This window comes from Homo sapiens, chromosome 10 (assembly GCF_000001405.40).
Source record: "Homo sapiens chromosome 10, GRCh38.p14 Primary Assembly".
Lineage (NCBI taxonomy): Eukaryota > Metazoa > Chordata > Mammalia > Primates > Hominidae > Homo > Homo sapiens.
In genome coordinates this window covers 44892765-44911262 of record NC_000010.11, presented here as the reverse complement: position 1 = coordinate 44911262, position 18498 = coordinate 44892765, and the positions used below count along the sequence as shown (strand labels likewise).

The 18498-nt window shown below is 48.6% G+C and overlaps 1 long non-coding RNA gene across 1 annotated transcript in view, besides 2 other annotated features; it reads left to right on the top strand.

The window, feature by feature from the left end:
* The window catches only part of TMEM72-AS1 (TMEM72 antisense RNA 1), a 148666-nt gene that overhangs the window by 48427 nt on the left and 81741 nt on the right, over positions 1-18498 (top strand). The window lies entirely within an intron of this gene.
* Positions 1824-2324: an enhancer, noted in NCBI's record as "H3K4me1 hESC enhancer chr10:45404387-45404887 (GRCh37/hg19 assembly coordinates)". NCBI's record gives its function as "activates a minimal SCP1, AML or CMV promoter by ChIP-STARR-seq in primed H9 embryonic stem cells {active_cell/tissue: H9 hESC(primed)}" and the evidence as "EXISTENCE:reporter gene assay evidence [ECO:0000049][PMID:30033119]".
* Positions 2325-2825: an enhancer, noted in NCBI's record as "H3K4me1 hESC enhancer chr10:45403886-45404386 (GRCh37/hg19 assembly coordinates)". NCBI's record gives its function as "activates a minimal SCP1, AML or CMV promoter by ChIP-STARR-seq in primed H9 embryonic stem cells {active_cell/tissue: H9 hESC(primed)}" and the evidence as "EXISTENCE:reporter gene assay evidence [ECO:0000049][PMID:30033119]".

Below are 18498 nucleotides of genomic sequence, written 5' to 3'. Positions count from 1 at the left end.
CTCACACAACCCCAGCCTGGGCTGGAGCCGCTCAGCCCCAGCGCAGCCCAGCCGCCTGAGATCGGCGATTAGGGCTGGGCTGGAGGCAGTCTGGAGCTGGCAATTAACCGTTTCTGGCTGGGAGGAGGGAGCCAAGGAGTGGGCCAGGCCCTTCCTCACCAAGCCATGCCTAGAAAGTCACACCTGGATTTCACACTTGCTGGGGGCCTGTAGTGTCTGGCTCTGGAGGGGACAGTGCTCTTGCAGGTCTGTGCTTATGTGCATATGGGAGAGAGGAGTGTGTCTTTAAATCACCAGTAGAAACAACTTTTGAAATGAGTTCCAAGCTTTATTCTTCTGCGTATAGGTGGATTAGAAAGCTTTTCAAATCTGTCCCGGATTTGGACTCTGACTAGACATACTTAGCTCAGGCCCCGCCACGCAGAGGCCTTCCTTCCTCATTAACATGCATCCCAACATGGGACGTGGGAAATCATTTTGATTCTTTGTTTTGCGAGGGGAGTTGCTATGTCAATAATTAACCGGGTGACCTTGGGGAAACCCAAAGGCATCTGTGAGCCTTGGTAACTTTTGCAGAAAATAAATGTGAAGTTTTGGCTGAATTGGTGTTTTTGATGTACTTGGAGTGTCCCTGTAGCTGTTTCAAGGAGCCCAGCCTTTACACTTGGACAGTGGTGGGCTTTCCCTCATTCTTAATTTACTAACGGATGTGCTAGATTGAATGGTATTAAGATTTATCTCTCAGGTGTTTTTCTGAAATCTTTTACCCCTTTGCTCATATAAGATAGAAAACAAAACAACCAAATAAGGAAAAAAACTCCAAGCAAACCCAATACACATGCTCCTCAACTTATGATGGGGTTATGTCCCAAAAAACCCATCAGACATTGAAAATATTTTAAGTTAAAAATGCACTTAATCCAACCAACCTACTGAACATCAGAGCTTAGCCTGGCCTACTTAAATGTGCTCAGAACACTTAGTTTATGGTTGGGCAAAATCATCTAACACAAGGTTTATGTTATAAAGTGTGGAGTAGCTCATGTAAGAATATATTGTAGGGCATGTTGCTAGCCCAGGAAAACATCAAAATCCAAAATTTAAAGTACAATTTCTACTGAATGTACATCATTTTCACACCATCCTAAGTTGAACCATGGAAAGCCAAGGTCTGCCAATAATAACGGAAAACTCAAGAACAATTAGTTTGGCCCTTCCCTCCCCTCCCTTCCCCTCCCCTCCCTCCCCTTCTCCTTCCCCTTCCCCTTCCTTTCTTTCCTCTTTTCTTTTTTTTTTTTTTTTTGAGACAAGGTCTTGTCTGTTGCCCAGGATGGAGTGCAGTGGCACAATCTTTGTGGCCTCAACCTCCCAGGCTCAGGCGATCCTTCCACCTCAGCCTCCTGAGTAGCCGGGACCACAGGTGTGCACCATGCCTGGCTTGCATGTTTCTTGCTTGAGGATGATACACCCTCAACATATATAATGAATAGATATTTTTTGCTATTAAAATTATTTTAATTTGATTGATTAATTTGATCAAGAATCATGGCATTCCATAAAGATTACCGTTTTTTGTATTTTTCCGCCTTGAATGAGTTTAGGAACTTCTGTGCTCGTGTGATCTTCAAGATCAAGTTTATGAGTGTATGATTTACATATTTATTTCCTGGGTTAGTTGTTTTCTATTAGCAGACTATCAACTTCAATCTTCTTAAACTTTGACATATCTTGACACCACACACACCCACTCCCCCAAATGCAGGTGTTCCGGTCTCTGTGGCATATGCTGAATTGCACAGATGGAGCTGCGGGGGCTGGGCTTCAGCAGCGATGGCAGCTCCCTGTCCTTTAGGAACCCTTGATTTGCATGGGTCGGGAAGCTCTGGCTGGCCCACAGTGCTCACTTGCTTCTTGCTGGCCAACAGCCACTTATTTTTTTTTGTATCTGATGGTCACCTGCTCAGAAGATACGAATTCCTTCCGGGCCTGGCTTGGCAGGGACTGTTCAGTCCACAGGTTAGTCTACTGTCTCCCTTTCCCAGAGACTACTTTAGGAATGAGAGGGTGTGACCCAGTTCTGGTCAAATAGCCCAGACAGGGTGTGTGCTGAGGAGCTTCTGGGAAAGCCTCTCTTGCTTTTAACAAGAGGGAGAGGACCAGCTGCACTCCCTCCCTTTGGATGCACCTGCTCAGGGTGGCCAGCTGTCTCCTGTTGTGGCAGGGCTCAGCCAAGGCCATCACCAGCTCAGGTCCTGGCCCATGAGACAGGAGCAGCACTGGGCAGTGGGGGACGTTTTGGAGCTGCTAAACTTACCTGTTCTTAATTGTCAAATGGGTGATGTCGGCTTCCAGTTAGAGCTAAGAGCATTGTGCTGACGGTGGACTGTGTCTGAGCTGTGCTCTCCCCACGTCCTTTTCCGCAGGAGGCTTTTTTTTCTGTACACTGGGCTCAGGTTAGGGGAGCTGAGAACTAACAAGGCCGAGGGTTATCCTGGGACTGCCCCCATAAGAGGGAGGGAAGAGGAGGGTGTTGGGTGACAGTGGAAAGAAAGTAGGGCCTGTGGCAAAAAACAAAATATGGAGGAACCCCAGAGAAAGTCCCTCTTGAAGAACCCGCAAAGAGGGCTCTGGTGGAACTTCCAACTCCTCTACTACCATCTAAGCCCATCTGTGGAGCCCCCGGAGGAGGGGGAGGTCTGGCTGGGCGGGTGTGCTCCTTAGACCTCTCCGGAGTTAGAGAAGAGGTTGCCAGGAACCAAAGGCCACACCCTAAAATAGAAGTTGGAAGAGAAGGTGGTGAAGCCCCAGACATCCATGTCTGACCCAGCAGTTGCTAATGGACCCAGAGGTAAAAGAGAAGGGGCATTTCCTGGAGAAATCAGCGAACGCCCGGGGAGCTCTGCTTCTAACAGGCTGTGAGACGGGGGAGGACAGAGGGAAGGACAGAGAGCCCCAAGGCAGTGAGGGAGGTGGAAACCAGCCGAGTGCGGAAAAGTACTCTGAGAAGGGAGTCTCAAGTTACAGCATTCATGAAGCAGAGTGGACAGGGGCCCAGCTGCCTGGGGAAAATGGTGCAATGTAGATATTACACAAAGAAAGCACAATTGCCATTGCATCTTAAGGAGTCCAAATCTGGGCTAGTGAGGGGAAGCTGGGTAGGGGAGCTTTTAGCTCAAAGTAGGGGAAGATGCTCCAGCAACCCGCCACTTGGTGTTAGGCTGAGCTGCTGCAGGAGGTAGTGACGACCTGGAGCCCATTTGGGTGCTGGGTTGGGAAGGATGTCCCGGACAGTTCTCACACACTGACTCAACCATTTGGACCCAGGAGTCTGTGATTCTGGGCATCCGCAATTCCTGAAAGAACCCTGAAAGCGCTGAGAAGTTGAAAAGGACTTCTGGAAGACAATCTCTGCTGGAACCCAGCATACAAAGGACCAGAGCTGGGGCTTCCCCCTCTGCTGGTTCTTTCTTGTCCATGGTCCTTGGGTGTTTGGTCAGGAAGAGCAGCCATGTATGAAGGGAAGGAGGCCAGAAGAGGCGCGAGGGGAGGGGAGAGGAGGGGAGGGGAGGGGAGGGGACAGGAGGGGAGCAAAGCCCGGCTTTGCAGTTAGCAGCTGTGTGGCCTGGGAAATTCGTTACTCTCTCGGTCCTAATTTCCTCATCTGTAAAATGGGTCTAGAAGTTGTCTTACTGGGTCAGATATACTGTGTCTAGAGAGGGTGCCAGGAAATGGAAGCTAATATCATAAGGGAACAAAGAAAACTGGCCACCCTGACAAATCCTGCATAGGTTTTGTTATAGGATTCCACCTACTGAACCAACACTCCAAACTGGGGACACAGCCTGGCCCCCTGGCCATGGAAAATTGGGGTAAAGGGAGTAGCTTTTCTTTGGAATGATGGGCTCATCCAAAGCCCATATTCACCATATTGTTTCATTTCACTGTACACTAAGCAAAGTGTCTATGTGCGGGAGCAGTAGGAAGACAGACTCAATAAACCTATAATCAAGTCCCTTGGCAGTCAGTCATGTCTGACCTCCAGGGCTTGTGAAAAACAGTTAGTGTTTGCTTAACATTAAATGCATTCCAGGTATTGCGCTAAATGATATATGAACAACCCTATTCTTCCCATTTTACAGATGAGGGAGCAGGGTCATGTGAGGTTAAGTGGACTTGCCCAAGGCTTGACCCTCTGCTGCCACTCTGGTTTCATAGGTACCTCAGGCATTAGAGCTGCCTAGTGAGAAGAGACCGTCTGCACAGCCTCGGGGCAGATGATTTGGGAGGACTAGAGGCAGAGGTGTTGATCTCACTGTTCCTAGATCTGCAGAGCTGATGATGGATTTGGGGAAGGCTCCCATCATCTTCCTTCCAGGTGGTCCAGGCGAATAAGCTCCCCCAGCAGTCAAGACCACAAGTCTCCCAGCCTTGACTGGAGCTTCTATTAATATAAATAGATGCTTTGTAGACATTCCCAGCTGTAGGGGATGGACATAAATTGTGCACCATTGACAGTAGCACACAAATGCCAAATGCCTGGGTGGCTCTGGGGAGCATGAGAAGTCGGGGGAGGATGAAACAGGGGTGTGTGTTACTCTTCAGCTGTGGGGTGAGGAAATTTCCACAACACAGCAGGAAGGTCATGGGCATTACTCAACGCCAGTGGCTGTCCCTGGAGACAAGTCACCAGAGCTAACCTAAGCCTTTTATTTCTTCTGAACCCCCTCCACTACCTCATCCCTCAACTCAACGTCAGCAGAAGAAAATAGAGACCCTCAGACGAGCAGCCCGCATACCTCTCGCATCCCTTTCAACCATCCCTCACCTGTCCTTTCCTGCCACTAGAGGAAGGGGAGTTAATTATCTCAGCTTGTGCTTCCAATCACTGACCTCATATGTCCTCTGGGACTCTAGATCATCAATTAAGTCTCTGTCCCATGTCTTCCAATTTTCCCCTCTACCTCTTCCCACCAGCCAAAGCTTTTGTGTACAGAACAGCTTTCCCCTGCAAACTACTCTCAGTCTCTCCTCACATCACCACCAACACTCTGGAAAGTGGTTTACTTTTACCAGCACCTTCCATTATGTCTTCATTTTCCACCCACTTCTCCATCTGCCAAGAGGTGGCTTTTACCTGCTTTTGTAGCACTGTGGCTGGCCATGCCAGTCTAGAAGCTGGTCACCAAGTCCAGTGGCCTAATTTCCATGCTCATTCAGTTCCCATTGCCTGGACTTTTTAGCATTTGAAACCACCCTGTCCTTCTGGACAATCTCCCATATATATTATTCTCTGGTAAACATCCTACACGCAATGGGGCTTGCATTCTTTCTTTTTTCTGTGCATGCTTTACAGACTCACCTTTCTGTGCTGTTTCCTGGGTTGGTGATCTGTGGTTGGCAGCCTTCAATGAACCACCCTCCTGTTATTCACATCCTTATGTGGTCCCCTCCCACATTATACCTGGGTTTGCCTATAGGACTGAGCACAGCAGAAGTGGTAGCAATAGTCCAAGTGTTGAGTTATAAAAGATAAGACCTTGGTCACTCTCTCACTCATGGGTTGCTCTCTTAGGGGGAAGCCAGTTGCCTCCATGGGGAGCCCTGCAGAGAGGCCCATGCAGTGAGGAACAGAGGGCTCTTGCCAGCAGCTGCCATGTTAGGGAGCTTAAAGGCTGATGCCCCAGCCCCAGTTGAACCTTCAGATTATGGCAGCCCCAGCTGACAGCATGGCTACAACCTCATGAAAGGCCTTGAGCCAGAGCTACCCAGCTAAGCTGCTCCCAGGTACCCTGAGAAACTGTGAGATAATAGATGCTTGTTGTTTCAAGTTACCAGGTGTCAGGGTAATCTGTCACTCAGCAATAGACCGAGGCATCATTTGCAACCCTCTCTCTCCCATCCACTCTCCGCTCTCTTCCTGGTTATTGCTAAGGGGCTCTGTGGCCTGAGCACCATAAGCACAAGGACTGTTCCTAGCAAGGATTTACACCAGCATTTCTCCTCCGCCATGAGCTCCATTTCCACCTGCCTATTGGTCACCTCTCTGTCACACTCAATGTATTCCAAATCAAACCATCTTTCCACCTCAATTCCTTTCCGCTTCCTGGACTTTACATCTTGGCCACTGGTTTAATTATTACCCTTGCCACCAAATCTGGAAACAAAATAAGTTTTGACAATATTTCTTCCTCTTCCGTTCTGCCAATCCTCATCCTCATTGCTCCACATCTGCCATCTCTCATCTGTGGCTCCCATCCCTCTCATTTCTTGTACAGATGCTGCCCCAGTCTCCTAATGAGCCTCCCAGCCTCCAGCATCATCCCTCTCCAATCTGTCCTCCAACTGCTGGAATTCACTTTGGAAACAGCAGGTCTTCACAATTACAGCCCTGCTTAAGACTCCCAGAGATTTTCCATTGCCTAAAGTCTGAGTTCCTTTGTCCAGATCCCAGGCTTTCTACAAGCTTCCCCCGCACCACCTCTCTATCTTCCACCTTCCATCCTTCTCCTTCTCCTCCAGACTGACTCCCAGGCCATGCAGACAAATGCTTCAAATGCTTTCCTTTTACCTTTGTCATGTTCTCCTTATTCTTTTGTTTCCTCCTTCTCCTTTTTTCCCTCAACATTCTCTTCTTCTCATCATCATTACACACATTATCCAAAGTCCAGATCAGTCACCCCCCGACAGTTGTTGATCCTTACAGTCAGAGTGAGTTACCTGCCCTCCAGCCCCCAGCACTCATCTCTTTGTATTTTTTTTTTTTTAAGATGGAGTCTCTCTCTGTCACCCAGGCTGGAGTGCAGTGGCTCTATCTTGGCTCACTGCAGCGCCTGCATCCTGGGTTCAGGTGATTCTCCCACCTCAGCCTCCCAAGTAGCTGGGACTACAGGTGCGTGCTGCCACATCTGACTATTTTATTTTTTATTTTTAGTAGAGACGGGGTTTTGCCATGTTGCCCAGACTGGTCTCAAACTCCTGGGCTCAAATGATCCTCCCGCCTTGACCTCACAAAGTGCTGGGATTACAGGCACGAGCCACCGTGCCCAGCCCCTTTGTATTTGAATTCCCTAAATTAATGCTGACATTTCCCACCAGCTGGGAAGATTTGTAAAATCAGAGGTGGTAGATGATGGAATGAATGCAGGAGGCTTGTCCAAGGGGGCTCTTTTATTTAGATTCTTTTCTGTAGAATCAATTGGCCAACATCCATGAAGCAGGTAAAGCCACACACCCAACTGTGGAACAGGGTGCAGTGGATACATTTTCAGGTTCACCTTTGTCCCTCACTTCTCCCTTCTTCTCTGAGTTAGATGCAGTCCCTGCTTCCTGCCTCACACTGTGGGCAGTATCTAGAGTACGCGCAGGGCTTGTGTTCCCAGCAAAGCAGAGAGGCCCTGTTATTGTGCATGATTCTCCTGACCATTGCCCAGCAAGTCTATCTTTAGCTTCCAGGGCATTAGAACTGCCTAGTCCACTGGGCATTGGTCTGTGCGGGATGGAGTGAGATACCTGCTCCACAATGGGGCTGCAGAACAGTTGGCTCTGCTCCCCCTGCAGCACATATGGGGGCCTTAGCAGCTGTCATTTGCCACCTGATTTCTGGTAGGGGGATGGTGCAGTGGTTTTTGAGCCAGATTACCTGGGGGTGAATCCTGATTGGAGCTAAGGGTCAGTGGGAGCTTGTGCAGCCACACTTTTTGAGCATTGGTTTTTCTGTTCACAAAGAGGTAGTTGAACCCTTCAGATCCTCGTGAGTCACTGAAGCTGAGATCTTTATCACCATGAGCTCCATTTCACCTAAGCCTCCTTGAAACAGGGCACTGACAGAGTGAGAGATTGCCATGCCAGCTGGGGTCAGGCCAGGGATCACCTCTTTGCTGCACAAGCTCATTGGACGTCCTTCACACGGCCCTGCTGGGTAGCTCTGTCTCCTGGGATGAGCTGTCGTGAGGCAGATTTACAATGTCTGGTCACGGTAGAGTCTGAACCTTCCTGGGCCTGGCCTTCTAGATGAAGGCAGATTTCTGTAAATTGGTGTCTGACGTCAGTCCTCCCCAGAGACCCAGGGGACTAAGTACACAGCATTCAAGAGGTTAAGTCCCCAATGCCTCCAGGAACGGATTCCAACATGCAGAGGAAGCAATATTTCAGGCGAAGGCACCGAGTGTCTGTGGACAGGGTCCCCCTCTGCTCTTGCTGTGAGAAAAGGGTTTCCTCATTAATCAGAGCCTCCAGGGGCAAGGGGCTGGCCCAGGAGAAAGCACAAAGGATCCTCTGTGAGGGCTGGGCTGTGCTCTTCAAGGGGTGTAGGGCTGGAGTAGACTTTGGAGGGAAGCTACAACCTCCCATCTGTGTCAGTGCTTTTTATAATAATGTCTCTGAACATTTGATTTTTTCAGTTTAAATTAATTCTCAAAAGATGGCTAAAGTTCTATCAGGAAAAATGAGAATTTAGTCAGTAAAAGTCATTTGTAACTTCCCTAAGTGTTAAAATTGTGTTTTATTCATTTGGCTCTGTTCATTCGCCCGCCATCAACCAATTGCCAATCCACATAGCAAAAATACACACTTCCTGGCATAACTGAAAAACAAAACAAAAAACAGGCTTATTTTTGAAAACACAGGGACTTCCAGATACATATAGCTGCTCAGTGATCGGCATTTGGCTCTTCCCCACCAAAAAAGAAAGTGAGAATTTAAAAAATGTTCATTCTGGGGACACAGATAAGAGCAGACAGGAATTCTGGTGAAGGGTTGGGGGGTAACTGATCTTGTGGAACACAGGAGGGTTCTGCCTGCAGTGGGCTGTTCCTGTGAGCAATGAGTGTTTCACCTGAGCCCACCTGAAGGGCTTTGCACCCAGAAACACCAGGAATTAAGGAGCAGAGATTGGGTTTGGGGCTGAAAATGAGGGGATAGCTGAAAGTCTGCCTCTAGAGCAGTCGGACCCCAATCTCCTCCCACCCCACCCAATCTGGGGACCCCCATCCCTCCTCTCCTCCCTGCCCCCTCCCTGCCCTTCTCCTGCTTCCCCATCCAATGCAGACCAGAGATTTATTCTCCAGATGAACTGAGTGGTGACGGGCCAGGCCTTGGCAGGCTGGGTGACACAGAGGATGGAGATGGGGACTGAAGCCAGACTTGTGCCAACTAGTGGCTCTTCAGTCCCCGTCCCCAGAACAGCAGCAGGTACCTCTATCCCAGGCAGTTAGAGGACTCTTCCTAGAGAGTGTCAGTAACCCCAGAAAAGACAGGGATATGGTTTGGCTGTGTCCCCACGCAAATCGCATCTTGAATTGTAACTCCCATAATTCCCATACGTTGTGAGAGGAACCCAGCAGGAGGTGATTGAATTATGGGGGTGGGTCTTTCCTGCGCTGTTCTTATGATAGTGAATGAGTCTCATGAGATCTGGTGGTTTTAAAAATGGGAGTTTCCCTGCACAAGCTCTCTCTTTGCCTGCTGCCATGCACATAAGATGTGACTTGCCCCTCCTTGCCTTCTGCCATGATTGTGAGGCCTCCTCAGCCATGTGGAACTGTAAGTCCAGTAAACCTCTTTCTTTTGTAAATTGCCCAGTCTTGGGTATGTCTTCATCAGCAGTGTGAAAATGGACTAATACAGGGATACTAACATTTGCGGGACCAAAAATTCTATGACCCCCTGGTGAAGCCAATAAGTCTTTGAAATCTTCAACACTCACGTGTAATAATTTCAATCAGTTTTTCAGGGCATTGTCCTAGGTATGAGGACAGCCCAAAGTCAGCTGGTATTTGAGGAAAGGATCCAACATGAAGCACAGAAACCAGGACAAACGGAAAAAGGGGACCTGGAGAGGGCAGTGCAGCCAATGTAGGACACATACAGAAAACTTAAAAAAATAATATACCCTACAGTTACTATACTGAGTGATATATGAGAAGATGTTACATCTATAAAACAAGGACAGAATACCATGAAAAGTAACCAGACCACAAGAACCTCAAAATTAAAGACAGGCAAAAAATTAAAAAACCCAAATAAAATAAAACAAGAAAGCAACAGAATGGTTAGAAGCTAAAATCAAGTAGAACAAAAAGACAAAGGGAAATAGAAGCGAAAGAATAAAACAAATTATAGGGTTTATTCTCAAGGCCAGTCTCCTGACCTACAAGAGTTCCAGAAACAGAACGGGGGGAGGAAAGCTTCAAAGCGTAATGCAAGAAAATTTCCCAAAACTGAACAAAAGGAGTCTTCAAAGTGATTATGTGTTAGGAAGATGGGAAGAGGGTTAGTGATGGGGAATTCAAAAGTTAATGCCTACAGCTAATCAATTAAAAATTGCAACATGAATATAGTACCAAAAATATGAAAGTGAAGATGAGAAGAATTTCCTAGAAGTGTTAATGACAATGTTTGTCTTTGGGGAGAACTGGGGGTGGAATGGGTGAAATGGGACTGCTTTGTGTTACTGTTGTTTTTCTTTGTCTTTTTAAGACTCACTGTTTCTTGGCTTTTTAAACTCAGTGCATGTATTACTTTGAAAAAAATAAAAAAGTATTTAAAAAAAAGAAACAGGCATAAACATTAAGAAAATACTACCTCCCCATCCAGATTTTAATATACTAAAATACATCCTTTTAGATGTATTTTTATGCATATACAGAAAAACATTTCCTTACCATAAAAAGTTAACATGCATGTTGCTAAATAATGATTTATTTAACCTAAATACTGGAATCATCTGTGTGCCAACAGAAATATTCAGAGTGCTTATACCTGGATGTCTCACTACAGATACTGCAGAAAAGAATGAGGCCCTGTACAGTTCACAGCAATAAAGGCTACATGAATTGAGTGCCATAAGGGAGAAATAAGCAGGCTGAGCTGACCCAGGGAGGCTTCTCAGAGAAGGTGTTTTCAGGAATCACCCCAAGTCACAAATGGGAGGCCTCAGCACCCAAGAGGATGAAATCAGCCCAGGATCATGCCAGCCCGTGCCACCCACAGCCACTGAAGTGCTTGTCTGAGTCTTGCTGGAAACATGGGCCCATGTTAGTGATTATGAGCCTTGCAGCAGCAGACTCAAAGCTTTCTCTGCTGAGAAGTTTCCAGCAGTTCCATCAGTGCGAGCCGGGAACTGATGACCTGAACGACCTGGAGCATGGTGAGATCCCTGCTGCTGGGGGTTTTGGGAGAGGCCAGGCTACCTCTCTGAGCTGCTGGCAAGCGATTCTGAGTTTGGGGCAGAGGGCATGCCCCCATGACCTTCCATGTGGGCTGATGCGCCCAGCTCTGACCCTACTGAGTCAGCTCCTGTCTGTATGTTCCCAACTTTAAAAGCCAGGCTCTCACTTTTCCTCTGCCTTTTTGCTTTTCCTGTTTCCTTGCTGATTCAGGCTGTGGGTAGAGATAGTTCCTTGTGCCTGTAGGACAGAGGTCCCTGTTTTCCTTGCTGTCTGTCAGGGTAGGGCTGTTCCCAGCTTCTCGAAGGGCCCACATTCCTTTGTTTGCAGCTTTTCTCTGTCTTCAAACCAGCAAATGTGACCCAGTCCCTCTCACCTGTGAGTCTCTACTTCTTTGCTCCTCTCTTTCTTCCAACTGGGAAGGGAGTGCCATTGTAATTACAATGGGCCCACCTGGATGACCCAGGCTAGTCAGTTGCTGTATCTTCAGGTCAGCTGGTTAGCAGCCTTAATTCTGTCTGCAGCCTGAATTCCCTTTATACAGCAACACAACACTCACAGGTGCCGGGGATTAGGACCTGGACGCTATTCTGCCCCATCTGCTCTCCATCCTTCCTCCACACACTCTGCCTCTGCTGAAGATTGGGGTGGGGAAGTTCAGCACAAGAAGTCAGAGTGCTTTGGTTAGACTTGCAGAGAATGCTCATGTCAGAGAAAAAGCTACACTGTGGGAAAGTAGAAAGCAGCAGCCCAGGCCGGCGGTTCTACAAGGAGGCTCCCAGGACCAACGGCATCAGCCCAATCAGGAACCTGTTAGAAAGACAAATTATGGCCCCATCCAGACCCACTGAATCACAAACTCTGGGGTGGGGCCCAGCAGTCTTGGTTTCACAAACCCTCTAGGAGATTCTGATGAGATTCTTTGCTCCAGAACAGCCACCCTGCTTCTCTTGCTTTGGTTCTGGTGGGCCCATCAGGGAAACTGCAGGTAGGGCCCTCTGCATCGTGCTTGGCCCAAGGAGTTCTTTTTAGACTGCTGGTGCCTCCCAGTCACTTTGTGCCACCCCCAGAGGACGGGTAGCTCAATTTCCTCAGAAGCCAGGCTGCTAATGCCCTGAAAAGGTAACATGACCCAGAAAATCGACCAGCAGGAAGTGAAAAGCCTTTGGCAGGGTCTCCAGGGAAGCCTGCCTGGCTCCTGGCTCAGACAGGGATGGAGGAAGGCAGGACTGCAGGGGAGGAGCCTCAAGACAGCTGCATGCAGGACCTGGGCAGCCTGAGCTTTGTGGTGCCAGCTGCAGGGCTTCTCTGCATGTGGGGCTGTCTCCATGGCCAGAGATCTTGACCTTGGAGGATGACGTGCATGGAACTCCTTGGGGTTAGCAAGCACCCAGGTGGCGGGGGGACTTCCAGATTGTGCAGTGGCTCATTGCTGTAGTCCCAGCACTTTGCAAGGCCAAGGTGGGCAGATCACTTGAGGTAAGGAGTTCAAGACCAGCCTAGCCAACATGGTGAAACTCTGTCTCTACTAAAAATACAAAAATTAGCTGGGTGTGGTGGTGTGTGCCTGTAGTCCCAGCTACTGGGGAGGCTGAGGCAGGAGAATTGCTTGACCCTGGGAGGTGGAAGTTGTAGTGAGCTGCGATTATGCCACTGCATTCCAGCCTGGGCAACAGAGCGAGGCTCTGTCTCAAAACAAACAAAAAACAAGCAAACAAAAACTTTTCTGAGAATCCCAGATCCATTCTTCACCTAAGTGTCACTTAAGACATTGGGCCTCACACTTGACTGCCCATAGGAATCACCTGGGAGCTTTCAAAAGTCCTGATGCCCAGGTCACACCTCAAACCAATTCCATCAGAATGAGTGAGGTGGGACCCAGTCTTAGTACCTTTTCTAAGGCTCCCCAGGTAATTTCAATGTGTACACAATGTGCAGGCAATGTTGAGTTGAATACTACTTGTCTAAAAGTGGCTCTTAGTCCTGGCTGCACATTAATATCAACTGGGAAACATTTAAAAAAATAATAAAGCAGGCTGCCCCCGTGCCATAAGCCAGAGTCTCTGGGGAGGGGGCCTGAGCATTGCAGGTGGTAAAAGTCCCCAGGTGATTGTACTGAAGCACAGCAGGGTTGAAACCCTGGCACCACGGGCTGTGGTGCTGTCTCTTGCTGGCTGTGTACAGTCCCTGGGCTCAGCCCCACCATCTCTAGGGTGGTATTGTCGTTTTTAAACTCCAAGGCATGACAGTGCTCAGTAAGCCTTCCTTTGCATCCTTTGTTGTTTGCAAACTGGCTCTTATTTGTGAGCCTCAAGGAAACCTGTGGCAGAAGTAAGGCTTGAGCCCCACACATGAGACCTGAGAGTTGCCCCAGAGGTGGCCCGTGTAGGTCTGGGTTGGCTTTAGAGATTATTTTTAAAAATAAAGATCTAGGACACATATTTTGATAGCTTACAGAATGATTTTCCTAGTTTATCTTTTTGCTCTTGCAGTTCTGTATAACCCACAGAGAAAAACCAGACAAAGGAATCAAGAAGGGACCACTCCTCAGCACTTGCAGGTGTTCAAAGATAAACTGAGGCACATATTAAAATATTAAAGAGATTTTCTTGAGCAACTCACGAATTGGGCAGTGCCAGATAGAAAGAAGTTAGGGCCCTGAGGAAGGCATGCGAGAGGAAGGCTTTTACAAGGTGGAGGTGGGAGCAAGGCAAAGAAAATACATGCTTGTTTACAGTGAATAGTAATTTCATTCGGATCATTCCAGTGGAAAGTCCCCAGTTAGAGAGTAGTTGGTGGTTTCTGATTGGTTAAGCTTAACTAGTAGAAAGTCGCCAGTTAGGGGTTAGTCAGCAGTTTCTGATAGGCCTAGAATATGACTGTTTATGCTGAGTCGGCTTGTGGATTGCTAACGAAGGAGTTGGAGGCACTGCAGCTGCCTCAGCCCAATGGCCTCCCGATTAATTTTTGTTTTTAACACAGGTATGACAACACAGTGGCCACATGTGCCTTCCAGGTCCCGGGTTGGGAAGGTTGGTGAGGTAGCAGCAGCAGCTCCCCAGTGCAGAAACTGAAGGCTCTGCTCCTGGACGCCGCTCTTCCTGATGGGCAGCCAATACTTCTCACAAGATACCCTCTCTGCAGCTCTCAGCTGCTGAGGTTCACTTTGTGGCTTCCAATGTCAGTGGGCCACTCTTCCTGAGATACAGGCACCCATAGTATCATGTCATGTGGTTGTTAAAAGCAGGGTGGGTGGGCTGGTCAGTTTCAGCTATTTACCAGCTGCATGACCTTGGTCAAGTCACTCAGCTTCTCTTAGCCTAGGTCAGGTTATCTGTTTTTAATGGGTATGCATTTTAGTTTATAAACACTTGAGTATAAAAATTGTCCCATTCTCCAAATTAGATAACTGCTCTAATTTCCAATCACTGAGCTGGTGGAAGACAATGCACTCTGTCCAGCTGAGCAAGTATCAAGAGTTCTAAATGGTTCAAGCATGGCTGGGCATAGTGGCTCACACCTGTATGATCCCAGCACTTTGGGAGACTGAGGCAGGAGGATTGCTTGAGTTCAGGAGTTCAACACCAGCCTGGGCAACATAGTGAGACACTGTCTCTACAAAAAGTTTAAAAAAATTAGCTGGGCATGGTGGCATGTGCCTGTGGTCTCAGCTACTTGGGAGGCTGAGGCAGGAGGATCACTTGAGCCCAGGAGCTTGAGACTGCAGAAAGCTGTGATCGCACCACTGCACTCCAGCCTGGGCAACAGAGCAAAACATTGTCTCAAAAAAAAAAAAAAGAAAGAAAGAAAGAAAAAAAGGCCTAAGCATTCAGAAGAGGCTCTCTGGCATTCATTCCACACTGAAATTCTGAAATCCTCTTTGCAAATCCAGAGGTTTCTTGAAGGCAGGTGACTGGGTCACCTCATAGGCCTATGGCAGCAGAGTGCACAAGTGGCCACAGTCCTCCTCTCCTTCCCATGTCCACACTCTTTATAATGTGGCTTTGCAGCAGCTTCTCTCCCCTCTGAATCTGGGCTGGACTGTGTCTGGCTCTGGCCAATAGTGGAGTGATGAGGGGCCAGCTCTGGACCTGCATCTGGCTGCAAGACCTCCATGCCCTGCATTCTCTCTCTCCCTGAACCCACCCCGTTGCCTCTGGAGCAAGTCTGGCTAGCTGGCTGGAGGAGCAGGGAGACTGTGGGCCCAACTGCAAGGCGCCCCCCAGACCAGTCAGCCCCTGCCCACCCAGCAGCAGAAGCACACAAAGAACCATGTAGCTGAGTCTGCCTCAAATTGCCAATCTGCAGTACTGGGAGATAATAAGTAGCTGCATTTAAGTCATTAGCTTTAGAAGGCTTATTACCCTGACAGAGCAGTCTTTATCCTCTCTCAGTTCTCTGCAAGGAGGGAGACCAAGCTGCTGCTACTTACAGAAAGGAACCCCACCATCCCCAACCTCTCTCCTTCCTAGTGTTGCTAATTCCCTCTCAGCCTTGGCTTCTTTCAGCAAACTAAAGCCTATGCAGCAGGTGCATCCTTCTCCTGGGCACCGTTTGACTTGAGGTATTGTTCCTGAAACATGAATGACAGCCACAGCTCCCTTGGGAGGGGACTGCTATGTCAGAACACACAGTGGGTTCCCTTTCTAGATGAGGCAGCATCATACCATTCTTGTTCTCTCTGTAGTCCCTAGAGCCCGGAAAGCAAAGGACCATCTCTGCAGGCAAAGCAGGAGTGGCACCTGCCAGTATCTGCTAAAGGAAGTCGGAATGTGCGGGTACTGGGTCCGCAGTCACTGCTAAATGAAGATGGAATATGTGGGTGCTGGGCACAGCACTGGGCCCGTGATCACTGCTAAATGAAGATGGAATGTGTGGGTGCTGGGCATGGCGCTAGGCCCGTGGTCACTGCTAAATGAAGATGGAATATACTGGTGCTGGGCACGGTGCTGGACCCGCGGTCTCTATTAAATGAAGATGGAATGTGTGGGTGTTGGGCACGGCACTGGGCCCATGGTCACTATTAAATGAAGATGGAATGTGGGTGCTGGGCATGGTGCTGGGCCCATGGTCACTGCTGAATGAAGATGGAATATGTGGGTGCTGGGCACAGCGCTGGGCCCGCGGTCACTGCTAAATGAAGATGGAATGTGCAGGTGCTGGGCCTGTGGTCACTGTGAAGTGGTGGGGTGGGGCTGTTTCTACCTCACTGCTGCCCTGTCCACACTAGGCTTGCTCTGGCCTTCCTGTTGCCTGGGGCCTGCCCTCTCTTGCTGCTGCAGAACAGGCAGGATAATCTCTCTCTAGGGCAAGGAATGCACTCGGGCCAGGGACTCCTCACCACCAGCTTGAGGGGCTGTGCCCAACCCTGCCTCCTTCAGGAAGGTGTCCCAAGTTCTGTCCTTGCCTAAGCAGCTGGCACCTGTGCTCAAAATATTTATTGCCCCCATGCCAGCTGCTCTCCCACTTGTCCTGTCAAAGGGAGAGTGGGGGCCTGGGGGGGATCTTGCTGCATCCCAGCCCAAGCCCATCAGATGTGGGGGACTTTTGCCCCTCTGACCCTGCTCCTCATGAGGCACAGTCTGCACGAAGTGACAGCCCCGGCACTACCTGAGCCCATGGGACTCAGCTCTTCATCCTCTCAGGGCCTCTTTTAGTCTAGGTGCCCAGGGCACTGAGAGGGACCTGGAGTGACAGGAACACTTGACTCATGGATCAGAGGTGGAGCAGCAGCTCAGGGTGGCTGTGTGCCCTCCCTGGGGGTCATTCCCTCTCTCTTGTCCTAGGAGCTTGGGGTGCCCATGCTTGAGGCAGGAGGCTGTGTGCTCCTGGGAGCTGGCCATGGTGCCATCTTCCAGGGCCATTTCTCATGCCTCCCAGTTTCCAGTCCCTCCTGACTCCCCTCCTTCTGGGTCCTCCGCGGCACAATGATATATTTCATATTTCTATGGAAGGGGTGTCATGTCTCAGCCCCCACACTGGCACACACACAAAAATGTATATGTGCATATACATATATATATATATATATTTTTTTTTTGCCAAGTAAGTCAGCTTGGACTCAAATGTCAGTTTCTTTGAACAGATTTGTCAATGACCTCAAATTAAACTCTCCCATTTGAGGAATGGCAGGTGCTGCCCTTAATATATCTTGCAGGCCTGGGAGTGACAGGTGTGGGGCCTGCTCACCTCGGATCAACCCTCTGGGCCTTGATGATCTCATCTGTTCAATGAGCATCACAAACATCCTTCCACCTCAGACACCCTGAGATTGTAAAATGAGGTGAAAACTTGCTGAGCAAGGGAAATGATCCGTTAGCAAGGACATGGGCATCCTCTCCCAAGCTCTTAGCTCTTGTCAAGGTTCCCAAGAGCGCACCTCTATAAAAATTCTAGATCTGAAGGAGTTCAACTCATTAGCTAGGAAAAACACCTTCTTGCTCACTCTTGTCAGACTTTAGAATGTCAGCATATGAACAAGCTGGAATTTATATTCATAGTGTTGGCCGCTGTTTGGCACTTGCTTGGATTTTGAGATATGAATTATACTGTGAGTGTGTCCTGCTCTAGGGCTTAGGTTATTTATTATTTGAGGTTAATGTATGTGGAGGATTGGATGTGGACCAGGCGAGTCTGGCCAGGGACAGATTACAGGGCCCTGGGTTATTTTCTCTTGTTCTTTACCCATTCATGTTGATGCCAATTATTTTGAAAATGAACAATGGTCCATAAATATGAGAGCAAAGCTTGGGTGCATTGCCCTGAGCCTTGCTGTCCTCCCTGGCACTGGTTTGTGCTTCCTCTTCTGGGGTGCACAGGAGAGGCAGATTGGGGCAAGAGAGATTGGCAGTATGATAGCACTGGGACTGACCCTCAGAATCCCTAGTCTGAGAGTGACATATTACCAAGCTTTCTAGACAGGCTAGTAGCTCCTGTCACCTCTGTTTCTAAGGAAAGAAACATAGAGACAGTTACAAATTTGTTGAGATTAACTTTGGCAATGCCTTACATTGCCCTTAAAGTATAGGGTACACAGGCTGGTGTACAGTACAGAAACAGTGCATAGTCCAGAAATAGCACACCACAAATGAACGCTTTAGACCAACATAGGCGTGAGATGGATGCGTGTGGGATGCAATCTGACAATACGCATAGAATAGAGCAAAAGGCCAGTCCACATGCATTAGGATGGCTGCTACCAGAAGAATGGGAAAGGCAAGAGTGGGCGAGGACGTTTAGAAACTGGAGCCCTGTGCATTGCTGGTGGGAATGGAAAATTGCACATCCATTGTGGAAAACAGCATGACAGTTATTCAAAAGGCAAACACATAAG